Source organism: Homo sapiens, chromosome 5 (genome assembly GCF_000001405.40).
Source record: "Homo sapiens chromosome 5, GRCh38.p14 Primary Assembly".
NCBI classification, from domain to species: Eukaryota; Metazoa; Chordata; class Mammalia; order Primates; family Hominidae; genus Homo; species Homo sapiens.
Genome location: NC_000005.10, coordinates 57,815,436 through 57,837,499, shown reverse-complemented (window position 1 = coordinate 57,837,499; position 22,064 = coordinate 57,815,436). Strand labels below are relative to the sequence as shown.

Here is a 22,064-nt window from a genome sequence, read left to right as displayed (position 1 = left end):
TGGATATGTGCTATGAATTAACGTAAGCTAATTTTGCTGTTTGTAATTATTAAGTTCTTTGGGGTAGACATGTCCTATTGTAAGAGAGATGTGAGTGTTCTTGGTCACCTTTCTACAGCCTTGCTATCACGTATGACATCAAGTCTCAAACTGAATTCTGCTACAACTACAAACATTTATTTTCAAGCAGTCAGAGAAACCATCACAACACACAACTGGTACTGCATGTTCTCTAGCTCCCTCTCTGATATTTTAGTGCTTGGACTACATTCTGGATTAAAAGTTCTCTCAAAGCAGATGCAAAAGTATTTCAGAGGCAAGGTGTAGGCAAATCCAGGCAAACCAGCACTCTGAGTCAGCAGACCAATGGGAGACTGTCAGCATCAGGCCTTGGGCACCATGCTGAAGTGTACAGACCGCAGAGCTCCCCATACTTGTATGCCTCATCTGGCAAAGGGGGAGGATCATGTTTTTAATAATTCCAGTCAGTGCACATATCTAAAGACACTAATTTGATGAATGAAAACATATTTCTAACATTTGCCATGCCACTTTACAAACTTTGACTTCATCAGGCCGCTAAATTTCTTGCTATAGCTAACTCTGTAACAGGACTTTTTAATTAGATGCTAACTGGGTTGAAGTGTGTGCCCCAAAAATTCATATCCACCAGGAACTCATGAACATGACCCAATTTGGAAATAGGATTTTTGCAGATGTAATCAAGATAGAGTCATACTGAGTTAGAGTGAGCCCTAATCCAATCACTGGTGTTCTTATAAGAGGAAAGTTTGGACATAGAAACATACAAAGGAGACCGCCCTGTGAAGATGGAGGCAGAGATTGAAGTGATGCATCTACAAGACAAGGAACATTAAGGATTGCTGGCAACCATCTGAAGCTAGGAGAGGGGCATGGAACAGATTCTCCCTCAGATCCTCCAGAAGGAACCAACCCTGCCAACACCTTAATTTTGGACTTCCAGCCTCCAAAACTGTGAGAAAATAAGTTTCAGTTGTTTTAAGTCACATAGTCTGTGTGAATTTGTTACAACAGCCCTAGGAAACCAATATGCCATGGAAATGTATTTCCATCTAGGGCAATTAACCACCCCAGGGAATAGTATGAAACAACCGCCCCCCAACCCCCCACCCAAAACACACACATCTCACCATGTTAATGCTGAAGTATGTCAAAGTAAATTACAGACAACTTGACAATATTCTAGTAGCATGTCCTTATATACATTGTTAACAGCTGAACAAAGAAGCTAAGCACACACATAAGATGTAGACTGCCTTTACATCCTTGAGCTGGCATATTCATTCCAGCTTTCACACAATAGAAGACGAAGTGCTTCCTATTTCTTCTTTTCCAAAGAGTTTTGGAGGCTTTATAAGTCACGGCTCATTCACAGATATAGTTTTCCATTGGTCAACAGATGTCTATTTGAGCCACTGTGAGAAATCAAGTCCGATATATAAAGTATGACCTCACTTGACCAAAAGTTTTATTATGAAATCCTGTTTGATGTTGTTTGATTTTATATAATCCTTTATGATTTTGTTTTATTGCAGAAATCCCAAAAAAGAAAATAAAAGAGCAGCATTTTGTGGATAGAAAATGAAAAACACAATTTGTTTTAATTTATTCAGAATATTTGTAGTTTCTCAACATAAACACTTTTTGCTTAACTCCTAATATTTTTGTGTCTGTCAAATCTTTGGTGTTAAATCATCCTAAGTGTCAATTGCAGTTTTGAAACTTCTTGCCTGTGTGACCTGAAGGAAGCCTCTGTTTAACATTTTTGCAACAAAAACAAGGTGCACCTTAGAAGCTTGTAGTGAGGATTCAATGAGATCACATATGTGAAATCCCAAATGCAGTGCACAGTGCCAGATAAATGTTTTGCTTTTTTTCCTCCATTGACATATGTTTTGCTTTTTTTTTTTTCAGATCTCATTTTTTAAATATGAATGTCACCATTTTCTGTTGTGGGACCCAGGACAAGTAAAGGGATAAGTGACAGGCACAGATGCTCTCTTCTAGGTTTGCCTATAGACTCCAGAGTGCTGTGGATCATGCCTGGGCAAGCCCCAGCCTGGGAACTGTCAGGCCCCTGCAGAGAGGAGAGTCTGTGTACCTTTGCTCCAGGCTCCTTCCCCCACAGAGTGACAATAGCTGGAATAACATTCGGCCGAAACACTTTCCAGAGAAGCAGAGTTCCACCCCTTGCACTAGGGAATGAAAACAACCTCCAGAAGGTTAGGACTAAAACTAGAAAAAGCTGTATGCACTCAAAAGCGGGGCTCTATCATGTGAGTTAATGACCACAGCACTATCCTGCCTCAGTTGAAAGCACGTGACCCCAGGAGCCAGAGAGAATGGGTTCCGATCCAGGCCCCACCTCTTACTACCAGTGTTATCTTGGAAACTGACTTAAAGTTCCTCAGCCTCAACTTCTCACTGGAAAAAATAGAGCTATTATTTCCCCTGTTGTTTACTTGCAGTGTGAATTATATAAGATAATGTGCATAAAATACTTTTTGATAGTGCCTGACTCATAATTGGCCTTCAACAAACAATAGTCTCCCCAATCTTAAATAGATTTCATTCAATGTGACTTCCTCCACCTCTACTGTCGTAGAAATCTCATTCTTCACTCAGAAGCTGACTTGCCACAATTCTGTGATTTTCCTTTGTCCCCTCATGCTTGGTGGACTCTTCCTACACTACTTCTCCTGGTCTTCCTTTTAATGGTAACCAGGGCATTGGTAACCAGGTAACCGAAAACCTGGTAACCAGGTTTTGGTTTTTGTTTTTGTTTTCTGTTTTTTGTTTGTTTGTTTTTTTTTTGAGAAGGAGTCTCCCTCTGTCGCCCAGGTTGGAGTGCAGTGGCGTGATCTCGGCTCACTGCAAGCTCTGCCTCCCAGGCTCAGGCCATTCTCCTGCCTCAGCCTCCCAAGTAGCTGGAACTACAGGTGCCCGCCACCATGCCCGGCTAATTTTTTTGTATTTTTTTGAGTAGAGACAGGGTTTCACCATGTTAGCCAGGATGGTCTCTATCTCTTGACCTTGTGATCCACCCACCTCAGCCTCCCAAAGTGCCACCGTGCCCAGCTGTAACCAGATTTTTGAGGCTTACTTTGTGCCAAAAGCTGCATAAATGCTCTCAGATTCTCACTGTAACTCTCCAATACAGGTAGTGTTGTCCCTCATTTAGAGAAAAAGAAATCTAGCCTGAGAAAGATTAAACTTCCTAAGACAACAAGTGAGGGGGTCAAGATTGGAACCAGGTGTGTCTAACTCTACAGCCTCTACACCACATCACCCATATTGCTATTAATGTTATGTCACACTTCATGTATGTAAGTCATATGCCAATGGATAACACACATGAGGACAGGTTCAGCCCCATGCGTAGTCCATAGTAAATGCTAAATAAATGTTAGTTAATGATTATTACAATTAGATCATTAGCAATTGATTAGATGATGATGATTAAGTAATGCAAGCGTTTTTAGTAACCCATGGATTTTTTCAGGCCAGAAAAAAAAAAAAAACACTAAAGCGAGGAAAAATTTACTTCATATTTATTCAGGAAAGATGATTTTTAAAAGGTTATGGATTAAGCCAGAATCCAGCCATGTTTTTAATAAAACCAGACGATTGAGAGATAACTGGGAAAAGGACATGGGTCCATTCCAGAAGTACACCTGGGCTCCTACTCAGCATAATCTCCAAAAGAGGCACATTTCGATAATGTCTTAAAGGTAGTATGTTGACGTGCTGGCATGATAGTTGTTAAGGCTATGATGAAGCAACATTAAAAGAAGGGTGAAAACAAGACCATAAGCCGTGGAGAGATGGTAATCAGGAAATAGCCCATTTTTATGCACTTGCTCATTGCACCAGCCAACAGTGAAGGCCCTACCCCACCCTCACTAACTCAATGTTAAAATCCAGCTACATCACAGCCTTAAGTTAGGGTAGCACAAGAATATTTCTGTAGTGATGGAATATTCTATTTCTTCTTTTCCAAAGCAGAAATATAGTCAATTCTAGTTACAGTGAAAGACTTCTTATTACACATTAATTTCGTCAAGACTAGCCTGAACTGATTTTCTCATTTGTTTAAAATGGCTTTGATTCCTAATTCAAGCAGAGAGTGCTCATTTTTCTCTGGCCAGTTTAAGACCAAGTGGCCAGGAACACAGGAAGGCCAGACCTCTGTTTCAGAGCTTATGAAGGAGTGGCAGTGAGTGAGTGCCTAGGACTCTTACCATCTCAATGGTGACAAGCCCAGGGCAGTGTCCATGCCCATGTGATGATGGAATTACCCTGATAAAAATCTCACCACTGATTTCCTGAGAATGGAAACACGAGATATAATGTGTTTTCTGGCAGAGCTACTGATGCTGAGTGGTCCAAGGTGGTTGTTATTGTTTCATTTTGTTTTGTTTCCCTGCAGGAGGAGGTGAACGCATGTTTTGGCATTACATCTGGCTTCCAGCCCTCATCAAGGGAAGGGCTTCTGACTCCTGCCAGCAAAGGACTTAGTTGCTTTCAAGTGGATTTTATTCACCTGGACAGTCATGCAACCAAATCACAAGCAGAAAGGAGGCTTCCCCAACCCAGAGTCCCCACACGTGACCCTTAATATAATGTGTATTGATGACAACCTGAAGCAGCCTTGACTTCAGTCCTCAGGAGAACAATATGCAACTCTTTATAACAACTGGAGTTTCCCAGATTTCCAAAGTTCAAATGAAGTGAAAGACAATTTCTGGTGAGCATAGACATTAAAAATGAGAAAACAAATTTCAAAAACCTCTTGACTGACCATCATTACTTCATAAAACAAGGACATTTTAACAACAAAAAAGTAAGACGGTTATAACGATATAATTTTTAAAATACCAATTTAGTACTATACCAAAAACAAACAAAACAAGTATTCTAATTGTCCTTACAAAATTGAAAACCAGTGAAAACCTCAAAAACCCAGGGTGCCCTTTCCCATATTCTGGGAAATTCTTAACTGTGATTGAATGAATGATCCTGGGATGAGGGTACAGCATCCATAAGACACATTTAAAGTATACATATAAAAATTTTGTTATGGAATTCATAAAAATGTAAGTTTGAATGAAAAAATTTTAATGAAATCCTGGAGACAGATTTATCTTCTAAAGGCTGAACACACTGCAGAGCCCCAGCTCCCTCATGGTGCTATCCTTGATCCCGCCAGCCATGTGCTCACTCTCCCTCTGAACTCTCTCCTGTGGAGCCATGATTAGCCATACTACCTGGTGTTGGATTCCACAGCACCCGATACCATTTCTGATATGGATGGCTCACAGAACTTATCACACCTATAGAATGCTATGAGTGGAAAAGAGGCATCCCATACATATTTTCTGGATGAGTAGAATTTCTGGGTTACTTCCCTGTCCAAGGGCAAGAAAGTCTCTAGGGAAATTTGAAGCTGAAAAATAAATATGGTAGCCTCTGTAGTAAGATTAGGAATCACAAATACCTACATAAATAGGATGATAAGATGAATATAGAAAATGTGTAAACATGTAAATCTAATTTAAAAAAAAATTGAGGCATCTAAAAAGAAGTCTGGGAACAAAAACCAGGCCTTCCAAGCACCATGTCTTTTCATCTGCCACACTTCCACCACAGCTCCACTTAGGACGGCTTTGCCTTTCTTCCTTTCAGGTCCAACTTGTCTTCTCTGAAGCCTTTTCAACTATCTCAGCCTTCAGTGATTTGTCCCTCCTCCAAATTGATGCAACTTTTATTATCTCTTCTCTGCTCCCCTAAATTAAGAATTTAAGCTTATTACAGACACAAGGAGAACTAAATAATAGACCTTTTTTTCTTCCTGCTTCCATTTTCCAGTACACTTGGCAAGATATTTCCATTCCCACCTTCTCTATACCAGAAAAATCCTACTCATTCCTCATGGCCAGATCAGCCCCATTGCTTTTTCTCTTTTACACCTGTCTGGACTCTCCTCACTTCTACCCTACACTAATTATTTCCTCCTCCATGGCCCTCATGTAAATTTTTCTCATTAAACAAAAGTAGCAATTATATTATTGTGAAATTGTTGAGATTAAAACTCAAGTGGGCCACTCACACTGCTTGACATCCTTTTGGGTTGCTCAATCCAATTCACAATAACTAGTTACACCTCCTCTCCCTTCAAACCTCTGAAACAGTTTTGTTCCTTCTGGTATTTAGCATATGAACTTGCCTGTTAGTTTAAAGGGTTCTCAGCCTTTAGAATATAAATCTGTCTCCAGGATTTCATTAAAATATTTTTAACTCAAACTTACACTTGTATGAATTCCATAACAAAACTTCTATAAGTATACCTTAAATGTGTTTTATGGATGGCTGTACTGTATTAGTCCGTTTTCCCGCTGCTGATAAAGACATACTTGAAACTGGGAAATTTACAAATAAAAGGTTTTATTGAACTTACAGTTCCACATGGCTGGGGAGGCCTCACAGTCAAGGCAGAAGGCAAGGAGGAACAAGTCACATCTTACATGGATGGCAGCAGGCAAAAAATAAAAAGTGAGAGAGCGAGAGAGCTTGTACAGAGAAACTCCCCCTTACAATACTATCAGATCTCATGAGAACAGCTATCATGAGAACAGCACAGGAAAGATCTGCTGCCATGATTCAATTAACTCCCACCAGGTCCCTCCACAACATGTGGGAATTCAAGATGAGAATTGGTTGGGGATACAGCCAAACCGTGTCATGTAACCTCATCCAGGATTATTCATTAAATCATAGTTAAGAATTTCCCAGAATATGGGAAACAGAGAGTATGTGATTATCTGATGAGAATCCCAAATATTAAATATTTCCCTAATATTAAATACTCAAAACAATCCACAGTGAACCATTGCTGCCCTCCTGCCTTCTTGTTGCAGTGGAAGACATGCCTCTTCTTCTATCTAAAACCATCATTTGTATGTATCCCATCATTTATCACTTTTCTATGAGCTATAAATATTTAACATCCCTTCTTTATTGCCTTTTATATAATCAAATTCTCAGGTAGATTCTGTCATCTGGCTCTTAACCATGCATGTGCCTCTTCCACTCAAAAAACAAAAACAGCCTCATTCAACTCTTCATTCTCCTATTCCTATCCTCAGCTCCTTAGACCTTTCACAGCTAAATTTCTGCAAGCTTGCCTATACCTGCTGTCACCATTCTCTCACTTCCCACAAATTTAATCCACTTCAATCTAACAATCTAAAGAGGCATAGACATTTCTCTATACCTATTTGCCATCAACTTTCACCATGTATCCTCTTTCTGGGGTGGCAAGATTTTGCATATAAAAATACAGAATGCCCAGTTAAATTTAAATTTCAGATAAGCAAATATTTTTGTCAGATTTCTAGATGTAATATGGGACTCACATGCTAAGGGTATTTGTTGTTTTCTGAAATTAAAATATAACTAGCCATCTTGTATTTTATCCAGCAACCCTACTGCTACCACACAGTGTCCAGCTATCCTGGATTTCTTCTGGTTCTTTCTATTTGAAATGTTTTTTATTGCCACGGCGCTTTTACTGATGCTGGTTGTATTAGTTTCCTAGGGCTGTTGTAACAAAGAACCACAGACTAGGTGGCTTAACATGATACAAATGTGTCGTCTCACAGAATTAAAGGCTAGAAATCCAAAGTCAAGGTGATGGCAGGGCTATACTCTGGGTCTTTGGGAAAGGATCTTTCCTTGTCTCTTCTGATCTGTGGCAGCCCAGGTGTTCCTTGGCTTGTGGTAGCATAATTCCAGTCTCTGGCTCAGTCTTCATAAGGCAACCTTCCCCATCTGTGTCTTCTCCTCTACATATAAGGACACTAGTCATATTGGAATAAGGGCTCATCCTACTCCAGTATGACTTCATCTTAACTAATTACATCTGCAATGATCTTATTTCCAAGTATGATCACATGGTACTAGGGGTTAGGACTTGAATATATATTTTGGGAGGACACGAGTCAATCCACAGTACTGGTTATTTTGCTGGGAATGTGCTGTTTTCTCCTTTTTTCCTAGATGCTCCTACTCATATCTACCCACTGTTTATGATTTTAACATAATTAGCACCTTTCTCACTTTCTTGACCAAATCCTATCCCACACTTTTGTGCTTATATAGAACCATATACTTCTTATCGCGCGTTTGGATTCCATGTGATGATTCTACATGCACTTGCTTGATAATCTGATGAGTGTCTATGCTCCCCACTGGACTGTATACTCCATGAAGGGAGGAACCAGGCCTGTTTGGTTCATTAATACATCCTTACCTCTGAGCAGAGTGCCTTACCTTTAGTAGGTGCTTCATAAAGACTTGTCTAGAAATCAGTGGATTAATTATTTAACAGTGTGAGTGCTGTGAGGAAAAAACATAATTTTTATATCCTCAAAGCCTGGTACAGGCCAGGAAGAAAATCAGTATTCAATAAGAAATGTCTTAGTAAGTAATTAGTTGTTTCTACCCCTACTCTTTAGTGTGTGTTTGTGTGTGTGTGCCTGTGTGTGTATGTTTCCTAAAAAGAGTATTAGGAAGACAATTACCCAGCAAAACAGAGATGGGTGTTTGCTTATTAAATATGTAAAACCCTAAATTCATTTTCCTTTGAGTTTCTTAGATCTAGATCTTGTCCCAAAAAGATCGTGTTTGACTTGTGTTTGATTAGTAAATGTACAAGCTCAATCAATTCCAAACACTTAGAGGAAAAGTTACTCCCCAAAATTTAGTTAAAACATGTTTATTAACCTTTTAAAATATTCTTTAATTTTATAGGATAAATTCTACTTACATGTCTTTTAAATGGCAAAGTATAAAAATGTCTCTAAATAGTTAGGTTTTTAAATTTACTCTTATAAGCTATGAAATGACAAAAACAGTGTCAGAATACCAAGAGTACTTTTGAGATGTTTTTAGGATTACATGGGTGCTTAAAATATAAGGAGGCCTAGGAACTTACAAGTTTTTGATACTGGATTTCAAAACAAAGCTTATTCATTGTTTCCATCCTCCTTTGTTAACTCCTTGGAAGATGTAATGCATCTCTGTATCTGAATCAGTGGAATCTTTTAGCCATATTTTTAAATGACGATGAACAAGTGGATTTTGCCAAAGTCTGTGTGGAGATAAAGGAACATTTATTGAAAACACATCTGCTTTGAGATTTCATTAGTTTGAATTTGGGGTTAGCCTCCATAGGTCCTTAAGTTCATTAGGAACCTATTTTTGATTGCTTTTGGTGTGGCATAGAATTGAAATAAACCAAAATAGTGTCTTCTAAGAATTTAACTGCTTTGATAAATTAGTGTTAAAAGTTGAACTTGTTAACATTTAGGAGATATGGTTTGGCTGTGCCCCCACCCAAATCTCATCTTGATTTGTAGTTCCCATAATCCCCACGTGTCATGGGAGGGAACTCATGGGAGGTGATTATGGGGGCAGTCTCCCCATGCTGTTCTCCTGATAGTGAGTGAGTTCTCATGAGATCTGATGGTTTTATAAGGGGCTTCCCCCTTTACTCAGCACTCATTCTCTCTCCTGCTGCCCTGTGAAGAGATGCCTTCTGCTATGATTGTAAGTTTCCTGAGGCCTCCCCAGCCATGCAGAACTGTAAGTCAATTAAATCCCTTTTCTTTATAAATTACTCAGTCTCAGGTATGCCCTTATAGTAGTGTGAGAATGAACTAATACATTAGGTGAGCAAAGGATATAATCAATTTTGCCTAAAAGGACTTAGGCAAGTAGATTTTTAATATTTCTCATGTAGTCTAAATCTCATTATGCCCAGAGCTGCTGGCTTTAATTATGTTTAATAGACACTTGACATAGTCATACTGTGTGCAATAGCATGTTATTGTATGCTTTGTAATTTAATGAGGTAATAAATATTAAGTGAACTTTCTTATGTATTTACTCTTCCCATGGAACTAGCCTGATCATTTTATCACTGTACAAGTATTACATATTATATATGATGAGTTAAGGTTTCTTTCAAATGGCTTCACTTGAGGGATACTCTAGGATTTGCTTTTGTTATGTGGTTCTCTAAATAATATCTATGTTTTAAAATAAATCTCATTGTTTTGTACTTTCTTGTAACTAATCTAGCACATCTAATTTATATACATTTCAATAAATTCCAGTAGTATTACAAATATTTATAGACAAGCAAAATAAGTTTCTTCAACTCTATTTTTTCTTTGTTTTTAAACAAGGTGTTTTAATGTAAAAGCATTTAAAAGTTTTTATTAAATCAAATGAAGAAGAAATGATTCAAGCTCTATCAAAGTAAAAGGGGTAGGGAAGAGACAAATTTGCAAGGAGTTTTTTTTTAACCTCCAAATAAAAATGCTTTTTTAATCTTAAATGTTGTTCTACCTATTTCTATTTTTGAATAAAAATAGAACATTATTGAGTTAGAGAATGAAAAAGGCTATGACTAGGCTACAGGCTAACGTCAAGGATGCAGAGATAGTTCTAAAGAGGTTTAAGAGTAGTAAAGGCAGGTGCAGTGGCTCATGCCTGTAATCCCAGCATTTTGGGAGGGCAAGGTGGGAGTATCACTGGAGCCCAGGAGTTCGAGACCAGCCTGAGCAACATGGTGAAACCCCATCTCTACTAAAAATACAAAAAAAAAAAAAGTTAGCCAGGCATGGTAGTGCATGCTTGTAGTCCTAGCTACTTGGGAGGCTGAGGTGGGAGGATTGCTTGAGCCAGGAGGCAAAGGTTTCAGTGAGCATGGGTGACAGAGCAAGATCCTGTCTCAAAACAAAACAAAACAAAACAAACAAACAAACAAAGAGATTAGATCAAGCTGTAAATTTGCTGTCTTAGGTAATATGAAAAGCTGCAAGTGGAGATAAGGAGCTGAAGCGATCATTCATGAACACTAACCTCTTAGCTGGGTGGAGAAAAATGGCAAGAAGCAGCTGGGTGTGGTGGCTCACGCCTGTAATTCCAGCACTTTGGGAGGCCAAGGATGGTAGATCACCTGAGGTCAGGGGTTCGAGACCAGCCTGGCCAACATGGCGTAACTCCATCTCTACTAAAAATACAAAAATTAGCCAGGGGTGGTGGCCCATACCTATAATCCCAGCTACTCAGGAGGCTGAAGTGGGAGAATCTCTTGAACCTGGGAGGCAGAGGTTGCAGTGAGCTGAGATCACACCATTGCACTTCAGTCTGGGCAACAGAGCAAGACACTGTCTCAAAAAAAAAAAAAAAAGGCTACAAGCAACCCAATTATTATCCATTTACCAAAGCATAGTAAACCCAATGTTATCCAGGATACTAATCTTGTTCAGTGTTTTATCAGCATCACAATACAATGGTTTTAAATTAAATTTAAATGCAACAAGCATTCCTATTCATGAATACCATCACCAAGCTATGAATGAAGCTAGAGATCTTCTTCAGATTGCTAGAGAAGCCAAGATAAAAGCATAGATTAGGAACACCTATAGTGACCCAGAGAGTACCACCATTTCTCAACTCTTCTCAGATAGGACTCTGGAGATGGCTTAGTGATTCTTCTCTTAATGCTATTTAGATAATGCAAAAACATGGGCCTCAACATGGAGCATCTGAAGGTGGAATATATCCAAACAACAGGCAGAGTCCTGCCTAACACAGGATTAACAAACTTGATACAGACATGGAGTTGTTCTTCTGCAGAGCTGCAACAGACAAGTTAGCTAAGTGATTGTTTGAGAGCTTCTTCTGAAATAGAAGGAAGATTCACTCATTCGTCTCTGGGCTCAGGGGAGGAAGAATTTGAACCCAAGTTTTACTAATAATCCTTCCATTTTGTTGAAAATATTGACCATTAAATGCTACATATTAAAATTGTTATCAGGAATCAACATATAGTTCAAGTCATCAAGTTTATCAGTCAAAGGGTAAAGAGAATAGGAAAGAAAGGATCAAAGAGAGACTGGAGAAGCACTACAGGAGTGGGAAATTATGGGCTGTGCAGGCTAATGAATCTGTATCAGATTCAACAACTTCCTAGCTGAATGGCCTAGAGCAAATTCCTTAACTATCGAGTTTCCTTTCTACAGTGGTCAATGGAGGCAAGACACCTATTGTAAAGAGTAGTGATGCAGAACAAATGAGATAAATTATGCTTATTGGCTGGCATGCAGAGCCAGGGTCTACCCATGTGTAAAGGAATGTGGTTGAGGAAGCAAGCAAATATGTAGTGGTTGGATTAAATATTTATATAAGTTCCTGAATGTAGAAATAGTTGTAAAATAAACCATTTCAGTAGACTCACCAGCAACTGCTTTTCTACTTTAAAAAATTACACTTTGTTATGCACTCATGAAATGTACTAAAACTATTAGCAAGACACACCCAACTGGCAGCTGCGGGAAAGAGGAATTAGGAATAAAGGCTTTTGGCTCCATGTTTTCTTCCTGAACCAGGTGTTACCATTAACAAGACATTCTCCATATTCTTTTCATCTTTGCATTTATCATGTTGAACTGATACCAAATGGAGGGGACGAATTTGTAGGAGTATGGTTTTTCCCCATGCTCTGTCCTCTCCACATCCACAGGCACCCAGATACATAGACACACACTCCACACACACAGACACACTCCTCCCCAGAGACACATATGCAATCATAGATACACATATATTCACACATACGCCCTTTTCAGACTGTCTTGACCCACACATAATCTCACTTAACTTATTAGGAGATACAAGGGTTTCTAAATGATTTCCAAAAGAATATATATACTTCTTAAAAAATTTATAGACTAAATTTTAAAAATTATTTATGATTTTCCCAAAAACCAGCTATACTTTTCTTTTTACTTGACATTAGGTTATGCTGCTTAAACAAATAGAAGATGTATCATAAGTATCATACCAGTTACTGGATTTAAATCTGATAATTTTTTTTTTTAGCTACTAAGATAGTCAACAGGAGAAAGTTCTGTTCAAAATTGAATACTTGGCAATGAATTTTAATAATAGATTGGTATCTGTATTCTATAGGTGTGCAGTACAGATTATTGTAAAGGAAAAAAAAACAATCCTGCATTTCATCTATGACCGAAGACAGGGAAAATATGACAAAGAAAGAAACAAGACAGCCTACTCTCCTTATATAGGGAGTAGAAGCAATGGAATGAGGTGGAGATGATAGTAATTGAATGAACAAGGCTACCGACAGAGTGACTCTCAGGATAGTCATGCAGACCAGGCAGCAGCCCAATGATTAGAGAGCACCACCTTGAACCACAAAGCTTTCATATTTCCATAGTGAGAAAGAATCAATATGTGGGAACAGAACTTGAAAAGACTAGTATGAAAGTGCAGAATTACAAGAGTTTTCTCAAATACATGTGTTATATTTGATCCATGACTACACAAACCTCTGAGGAAAGTCCCACCACTGCATTTGACAACCATTCTAAGTGCAGAGAAAGAAGAGATTGTTTAACATATATTTTGTAGAAAATATTGTTCCATTGACATATATGCTGTTAAGCAATGCACAGAAACATCTCCCATTAGCTCTTATTCTGTGTTCTCTCTATTCAACAATAATTTCAGTTCATACAGTGACCCTCTTCCACAATACTGTGCATCCTGCCTTGCCTAGTACATTGCTGTACACAGTTTGTTATTTAATGCCAAAAGGGGACATTTAGTTCACTTTTCTTCAGTACTTTAATTATGCTGAAGACTCCAGTGTTAATGGTGAATACAGGAAAGACTTCAACTAGGAGTGATCATATAGACCAAGTAGCAGCTATGGTCTAAAATCAACATGTTGGGAGGATTAAATGAGATAATGTCTGTGAAAGTACTTGTAAAAGGGAGCACACTAATAACTGTTATGAAGACATGGTTGGTAAATTTAATAGATGCAAATATAAATTTCTTGCATCCACATTACAATACATCCATTGTATGAACAACAGATGAGAGAGACCTGTCTGGAGAGCATTTCAACAGAAACCAGAAGTCTCACTTGGCTGGTGAAAAGGTTTAGGTAATCTGTAATTATAGGTAGGTAGATCACATCTGGGCTATCGTATTTATTTTGGGGAGCCACGTTTTAAGAGTGTTCAAGAGTGTATGATCAAACTGGACCTCACTCCTCACTCTCATAGAAGAGAGTGGCCAAGTTAAAGAGAAGTTAAAAGCTTTTATCATATGGGGCGTGGTTGAAAGAGATGGAAGTAAATAGCTGTCCTCAAACATTTGAAGAAAACAGAACTAGGATGAGGTACAAAAGGACAAAACAAAATTGAGGTGGAAGTTACATAATGGTAGAATTCAGCTCAATATAAGAGAAAACTTCTAATCATGAGAACTCTCTGAAAATATATAATAGATTGGCCCTCTCTTCCTTCATTTCTTTTTCCTCCTTCCCTTTCTCACTCCCTCTCTCCCTCCCTTCGTCCTTTCCTCCCTTCCTTTTTCACTAATTACAACACTGACCTTTTCAGAGCAGTCTCTGAGTGTCTACCACATGGTGAAAGGTACTTCCTCAGCGTGGCTGCCATGTTCTGTAGTGTGTGTTTCTATCCACTGGCCATGGCTGACTGGAACAGGAATGGCGCCAGCCAATGAGCTGGCTGAGCCTGAAATACCTGCCTAAAAGAGGCCCTCTATTCAGGATAATGGTTAATGAAGCCAAACAGATTCTCTCTATTTCCTTTTTTCTTTCTTTTTTATTTTTTTTGAGGTGGAGTCTCACTCTGTCGCCCAGGCTGGAGTGCAGCGGCATGATCTCAGCTCACTGCAGCCTCCACCTCCTGGGTTCAAGCAATTCTCCTGCTTCAGCCTCCTGAGTAGCTGGGATTACAGGTGCCTGCCACCACACCTGGCTAATTTTTGTATTTGTAGTAAAGATGAGGTTTTACCATATTGGCCAGGTTGGTCTCCGAGCTCCTGACCTCAAGTGATCCACCCTCCTCGGCCTCCCAAAATGCCGGGATTACAGGTGTGAGCCACCATGCCCGTCTGATCCTCTCTCTTTTAAAATTGGATTTTTATAGGCACATAAAAAGAATCTTCTAGTTGACAGCAGCCGGAGAAGTAGAAACAGAGAGAACAAGAGCAAGACAAGAGGAAGATAAGGAGCAAGAGAAAACCTGCAGCAACAGGGAACCAGGCAGAGGTGAAGAGTCAGGATCAATGAAAACAGGATTTAAGAAATGCTGGTTTAATATCGTATGTAGATGACAAATTAACAGTTATAGGTCTGTGTCCTGACTAGTATTCAAGGGTCTGATGTGGAGGCTTGACTGTGATGTTAGTTGTATCATCCATGGTTCCACTTATAAGATCTTTTCTTTCTCTCTAGTTTCCCATGTGTATTAATACTTAGTTCCCAGTTACAGAGGTAACAGGATCATGTTTCACGGTAAACTTTCAACTTGAAGGAGTTCTAGCACTATTACAGTATAATATGGATAAACAAAAAGAGAGGAAAAAAAGAGTATCACCAATGATTGTACCTTAGAAATAAAGACTGTAACAACTGAGTGATATTATAAACCCTAAGGCAACCACTAAAATACTAAAATAACACTAATATTAAAATACTAAAAATGCCACTAAAATACCACTAATGCTATTAAAATACTAAAATTAAATCAGTTATTGCTAATAAGCCACAACATTTTAAAAAACGGAATCATAAAAATTACTCAGTTAATCTGAAAGAAGCCATTAAAAATAGAAAAAAAGGAAATCAGACAAATAGAACACAACAAAATGATATACTTAATACTAATTATAGCAATACTCACATTTAATGTAAATACCCCAAATAAAACTCACTGAGCATTACATTAGATGAAAAAGCAAGACCAACTAAATTCTGCATACAGAAAATCAACTTTAAATGTAAAAGCAACAAAAAAGTTAATCATAAAAGAATGGAAAAATATATACATACTCTAACACCAATTTTTAAAAAACTTCTGGAGTGTCAGTATTAGGCAAAGCAGATATAAGGGCAAAGATTACTACCAGGAATAATGGTTATTTCATAATAATAAAGAGGCCAATTCATCAAAGGGATATAAGAATTCTAATCATTGGCTGGATGAGGTGGCTCACGCCTATAATCCCAGCACTTTGGGAGGCTGAGACAGGTAGATCACCTGATGTCAGGAGTTCAAGACAAGCCTGACCAATATGGTGAAACCCCACCTCTACTAAAAATACAAAATTAGCTGGGCGTGGTGGTGAGCACCTGTAATCCCAGCTACTCGGGAGGCTGAGACAGGAGAATTGCTTGTACCCAGGAGGTGGAGGTTGCAGTGAGCCGAGATTGTGCCACTACACTCCAGCCCGGGCAACAGAGTGAGACTCTGTCTCAAAAAAAAAAAAAATCTAATTATTTATGTACTTAATAACAGAGCTTCAAAATACATAAAGCAAAAGTTGGTAGAAATGCAATGAGAAATAGATAAATCCACAATTATTGTCAGAGATTTTCATGCAGCTTTTTAAATAATTGTTAGAACAAGTTGACAAAAAGAATATAGAAAATTTGAACAACACTAACAACTAATATGACCTAATTAATATTTATAGAATATTACACCCCAAAATGGCAGAATACATATTCTTTTCAAGTGCATATGGAACATTTATTAAGATAGACATATTCTGGGTCATAAAATGTCTCAATGAATATAAAAGTTTTCTATAATACTTTGAGAGCATCAAAGGATGCCCTCTGACTTCAGTGGAATTAAATTAGAAATCAATAACAAAAGCATTCTTATAATATCTCCAAAAATGTGGAAACTTAATAACACAGTTATAAATAATCCATCAGTCAAAGAAGAAATCAAAATGAAAAATATAAAAATTTTGATCTCAATAAAATTTTAAGCAAAATATTTAAAATTTTCTGAGATGCTGCTAAAGCAGTAGTTATAGGAAAATTTATAGCACTAAACACTTATATTAGAAAAGGAGAAAAGTCTCAAATAAATAACCTCAAATGAATGACCTTAGGAAAACAGATAAAAAGTGAATTCAATCCAATATAAGTATAAAAAGAAAATAAGTCAAAAGCTGGATTTTTGAAAAAATAATAAAACTTATAAACCTCTAGCCAGAATGATCAGAAGTAAAGAGAAGATACTAATTTATAATATCAGAAATGAAAAAGGAAACATCACTATGGATTCTACAGATACTACAAAGATAATAGGAAATGTTATAAACAATTTTATACCATTAAGTTTTAAAACTTAGATGAAATTGGAATATATTTTAAGATTAACTTTCTCAACCTGATAAAGGGCACACATCTATGCAAAAACCACACCCAGCAGCACATGTTATAAAGGAAATCTAAAACCTTTTCACCTAAGATCAAAAACAAAACAAATGTCTGCACTTAATAGAAACAGAAATTCAACATTCTATTTAACTGATGTATTCTAGCTCAAGCACAAGAAATGAAAGGTATACAGATTAAAAATGAACACTCTCTATTTGTATATGACATGATTATCTTTGTAGAAAATCCAATGGAATCTACAAAAAAGCTACTAGAACTAATAAGTGAACTTTCAGGAAGGTTAAGGAATAGAAGAGCAACATAAAAATCAATTTTATTTCTGAAGAAAAATGAACAGTAAGACATTTAAATTAAAAAACAAAACCATTTACAACAGCATAAAATATGTAAAATACTTAGGAATATAAATAGGACAAAAGATGTGCAAGACCTACACACTGAAAACTGTAAAATGTCACTGACAGAAATTTTTTTTTTTTTTTTTTTTGAGATGGAGTCTCGCTCTGTCACCGAGGCTGGAGTGCAGTGACGCAATCTCGGCTCACTGCAACCTCCGCCTCCTGGGTTCATGCCATTCTCCTGCCTCAGCCTCCCAAGTAGCTGGGACTACAGGCACCCGCCACCATGCCCGGCTAATTTTTTGTATTTTTAGTAGAGACGGGGTTTCACCGTGTTAGCCAGGAGGATCTCGATCTCCTGACCTTGTGATCCACCCGCCTCAGCCTCCCAATGACAGAAATTTTTAAAGGCATAAATAAGTATATTTTGTTCATAACTTAAAGAATTCAATGTTGTTCAAATGTCAAATCTCTTTAAATATCCATAAAGCCAACAGAATTCTAGCAGCCATCTCTGTAGACATTGATAAGCTTATTCTGATATTCACATGGAAGTACAAAGGATCTGGAATATCCCAAACAAGTTAGAAAAAGAACAAAGTTGGAGGACCAAAACTTCCTGATTTCAAAACTCATTATAAAGCTACAGTAAAAAAGACTGTGGCATTGGCATCAAAATGGCTAAATAGATCAATGGAAGAGAACAGAGTACAGAAGTTGCTCATATACATGGAATAATGATTTTTAACCAAGATGCAATAGCAAATCAGTGGAGCATGAACAGTATTTTCAATAAATGATGCTTAAACAATTGGATATTTATATGTAAAATAGTAAACTTTAATGAATGCTTTTCACCATATACACAATTAACTCAAAATGGATCATAGGCCTAATTTTAAAACCTAAAACTATGTAACTTCAAGTGGAAAACCTTCGTGACCCTGAGTTAAAGATTTGTTAGATATGACACCAAAAACAAAAATCCATAAAAAGAAAAAAATGATAATTTGTACTTCATTACAATTAAAAACTGCTCTTTGAAACATTATGAAAGGAGAATGAAAACACAAGCTATAGCCTGGGAGACAATATTTGCAAATCACATATCTGATAAAGAATTTTGCATCTACAAGAGCCTCTATGGTGTCTGGTTAAGTGTATGGATTCTAAAGTCAGGCTGCCTGGGTGGTATCATTATTAACTATGGTATAACCCTTTACAAGTTTCTTAACTTTTAAATGCTTTCATTTTTAAAACTTTTGAATCTACATCCAAGCAGTCTTATGAGAACTAAATGTGTTAATTAATATAGGGTTTATTGACTAATATTTAACATGGAAAGAATGTTCAATAAGTTTGAGAGAGAGAGGGAGAGTGAATGACAGTGAGTGTAAACCTATTATTGCTTACCTCTGTAATATTGGAATTATTAGAATTATAACCATTTCTGGTAGTTGTTGGATTTTAAACATTAGCCTGATAATTTGTTTGTCTCAAAACATAAGTGAGAAAGCCTATTATGCTGACACATAGGGCATAGAAGTGAAATCTACCTCCAAGAAGTACCAGTATGTCTGACAAGAGTAAAAGAAAAAAACAAGGTCAAGAATCGGATTTCCTGCTTTGACCACTGCTTTTCTAGCTGGCCGAGAAATCACATAACACCTCCTTATTAAAAGGGTAACCGAACATCTGTCACTGAACAATGTTCAACCTAGGGTGTTAAAGCAAATCTTGGTCACAGATGACAAATGTGTCAGGAAAAGAATCCTGAACAGGAAAGCAAAATATGATTGTATGAATTTCTGCTTTGGCTAAGAGTTGATTATAAAAACATTGTGGTCTGTGCCAAAAAAAAAAAAAAAAACTGAGAAAATGTATGCCAAATAAAAGGTTAAATTGATCTACTTCTTGCATAAGCAATTGGCTTGCCTACTGACAAAAGATATTATGGATATTTAAATGGCCTTTATGGTTGTTGATTTTACAAGTGATGCACAGATTCACAATACTTCAGACTTTAATACCAAAGCTGCAGAGGAGTAAATTCTCACAACATGTTACACACCATGCACTGAGTCCACTTACACTTCCACCTCCTGCGAACCTTTCAACTGAACAGCAACATCATACATCTTGGTATCGGTGAGGTGCCTCTTTCCCATTGTTTCTGGCTTATGAAGCACTAACATCAGTTTTGAGGGACAAAGCTAGAAGTTAGATATAAAATAAGAAAGAAAAGAAGTTAAAAATGAAGCAACAGAAGTCTGTGTCACTTCAAAAGTCAACTTAGGAAAAGCATTAGATCACTTGGGAAAAGGTGTATTCCACACTCAGCTCATTGATGTTCGATGTGGCTATTGAATTTTGGCATGAAGCACACTGTGATTCAAAAGTGAAGATTGCTTCATACAATTCTGCATTGGAAGGCAATTCTCACCTTTTTTTTCCCCAAGCTGTTCTTCACAGACCTCTCTTGTTTCTTACAGGCTAGATATGATACAGCCCTTCAAGGCAGAAACAGGAGCATTTTCAGAGACGGAAAATTTGTGAATCTCTTGTCTATCTTGGAAAATGGGTACTGAAAATTCCAAATGAATACAAACTAGTTGTAGATCTCTTTGGCACCATTCCAAGCTATGCTGTTGAAAGCATTGACAAGCTTAGAGACAGGAATGGTTAGTTTTGGAGCTTAGACAGGCAAAGGAAGTACTCTCCTTTGGCATATAAAATATGTAGACACAGAAGAATGATCTCAGTCACAGTAGCAGCCTGGTTCTGCTAGGGTTTTTTTTTTTCAGCAGAGACTGTCCCTCAGGTAACAAAAATCCCAAACCAAGACCAGCCATGTGAATGGCAAACCAACCACATTCTCTCGTCTTGGACTTGGTGAGCTTGGACCTTCTACAGCTGTACTCATTTAAAACTGCAGCCTAACAAATATTTCTCACTTATTCATTAAATCAACAAATATCTGTTAAGTTCCTACTAAGTGCCAAGCACCATTATACAATTACTCAAACAATTCCACCTCTAAAGGAGCAGTAGTTCTTAAAAGATGAGGCTTTTTCTGATTTATGGGGTTTCTCTTATTCCTGAAGGCATTAAGAAAAAGTAAAGAAGAAATTTGTTGTGATGAGAATTAGTGCACCAGGTTTATATCCTAGATCCTTGAGAGAATGTTAGTGGTTATTTAAGATGGAGAGGTAAGTAAAACTTGCTCCACTCTGTTCATTCTGTATTTGAGGAATGTACAGAATACTGAAGAAGGGGAGGGGGTAGTGCCAGGCCTCTTTGAAAAGGTGCATATGGACTAATTCCTGCAGAGCCTCCCCATTTCCTTTGTATAAAATGCACAGAAGCCCTGTCCAGCTTTAACCTGACCTGTCTCTCCTTATTTGGATGTGAAGACTGAAGTCAGCCAAGTAGTGTCCCTGGTATTTGTAATTGGCAGAGATGGCCAGGGAAACCACCACTGAGATTTCATAGTTGCATGACTATTGCTGATGAAATGATTCATTTGCCTTAGAATGAATTGCTAACCATGAGGTCAACTTCAGAGCAGTCAACAGCACTCAGCAAGAGACCAATCAGTAGGAGGTGTATTCTTCAAAGATAAGAGTGAATCTTTCCAGTCATACATAGTAAAAGAGAAGTACAGCTAGAGGATATATATTGAACTTTTACCATAAATTTATGAAAGAACCAACTCAGCAGGTCTAGCTAGACTCATATTGACTTAAAGAGCTTGAATAAAAATATGTTTTTTTCTAGAATATAAATAGTTTTGTAGAAAAATAGCAAACAGGAGCTATAAAATGAAATTGAATGAGCTTATATAGGAACTTGAATCTTCTCTTATAATGCCTTAAAATGCTATTTCATGTCATCCTAGAGGTTGAAATGTCTATTAATCAGCTTGCACAGGTTTTACCAGTACCACTGTTAAGTTGTGTCCTTCAGGTATTTTACCCTTCTCACTACTTTTTTTTTTTTTTTTTTTTTTTTTGAGGAGGAGTCTCGGTCTATCACCAAGCTGGAGTTCAGTGGTACGATCTCGGCTCACTGCAACCTCCACCTCCCTGGTTCAAGTGATTCTCCTGCTTCAGCCTCCCGAGTAGCTAGGATTACAGGCATGTGCCACCACACCTAGCTAATTTTTGTATTTTTAGTAGAGACGGGATTTCACCATGTTGGCCAGGATGGTCTTGATCTCCTGACCTCGTGATCCACCCACCTCGGCCTCCCAGGGTGCTGGGATTACAGGCGTGAGCCACCTTGCCCGGCCCTTCTCACTGTTTTGAATCATCAAAATAAATGTTCGATACTGCTTTTTAGTTAGTTAGATTTTA

The 22,064-nt window shown here is 37.7% G+C and overlaps 2 annotated features.

The window, feature by feature from the left end:
• Positions 1,740-2,248: an enhancer, noted in NCBI's record as "NANOG-H3K27ac hESC enhancer chr5:57131079-57131587 (GRCh37/hg19 assembly coordinates)". NCBI's record gives its function as "activates a minimal SCP1, AML or CMV promoter by ChIP-STARR-seq in naive H9 embryonic stem cells {active_cell/tissue: H9 hESC(naive)}" and the evidence as "EXISTENCE:reporter gene assay evidence [ECO:0000049][PMID:30033119]".
• Positions 4,324-4,618: a silencer, noted in NCBI's record as "tiled region #14061; HepG2 Repressive non-DNase unmatched - State 24:Quies". NCBI's record gives its function as "represses a minimal TATA promoter and a strong SV40 promoter by Sharpr-MPRA in HepG2 cells {active_cell/tissue: HepG2}" and the evidence as "EXISTENCE:reporter gene assay evidence [ECO:0000049][PMID:27701403]".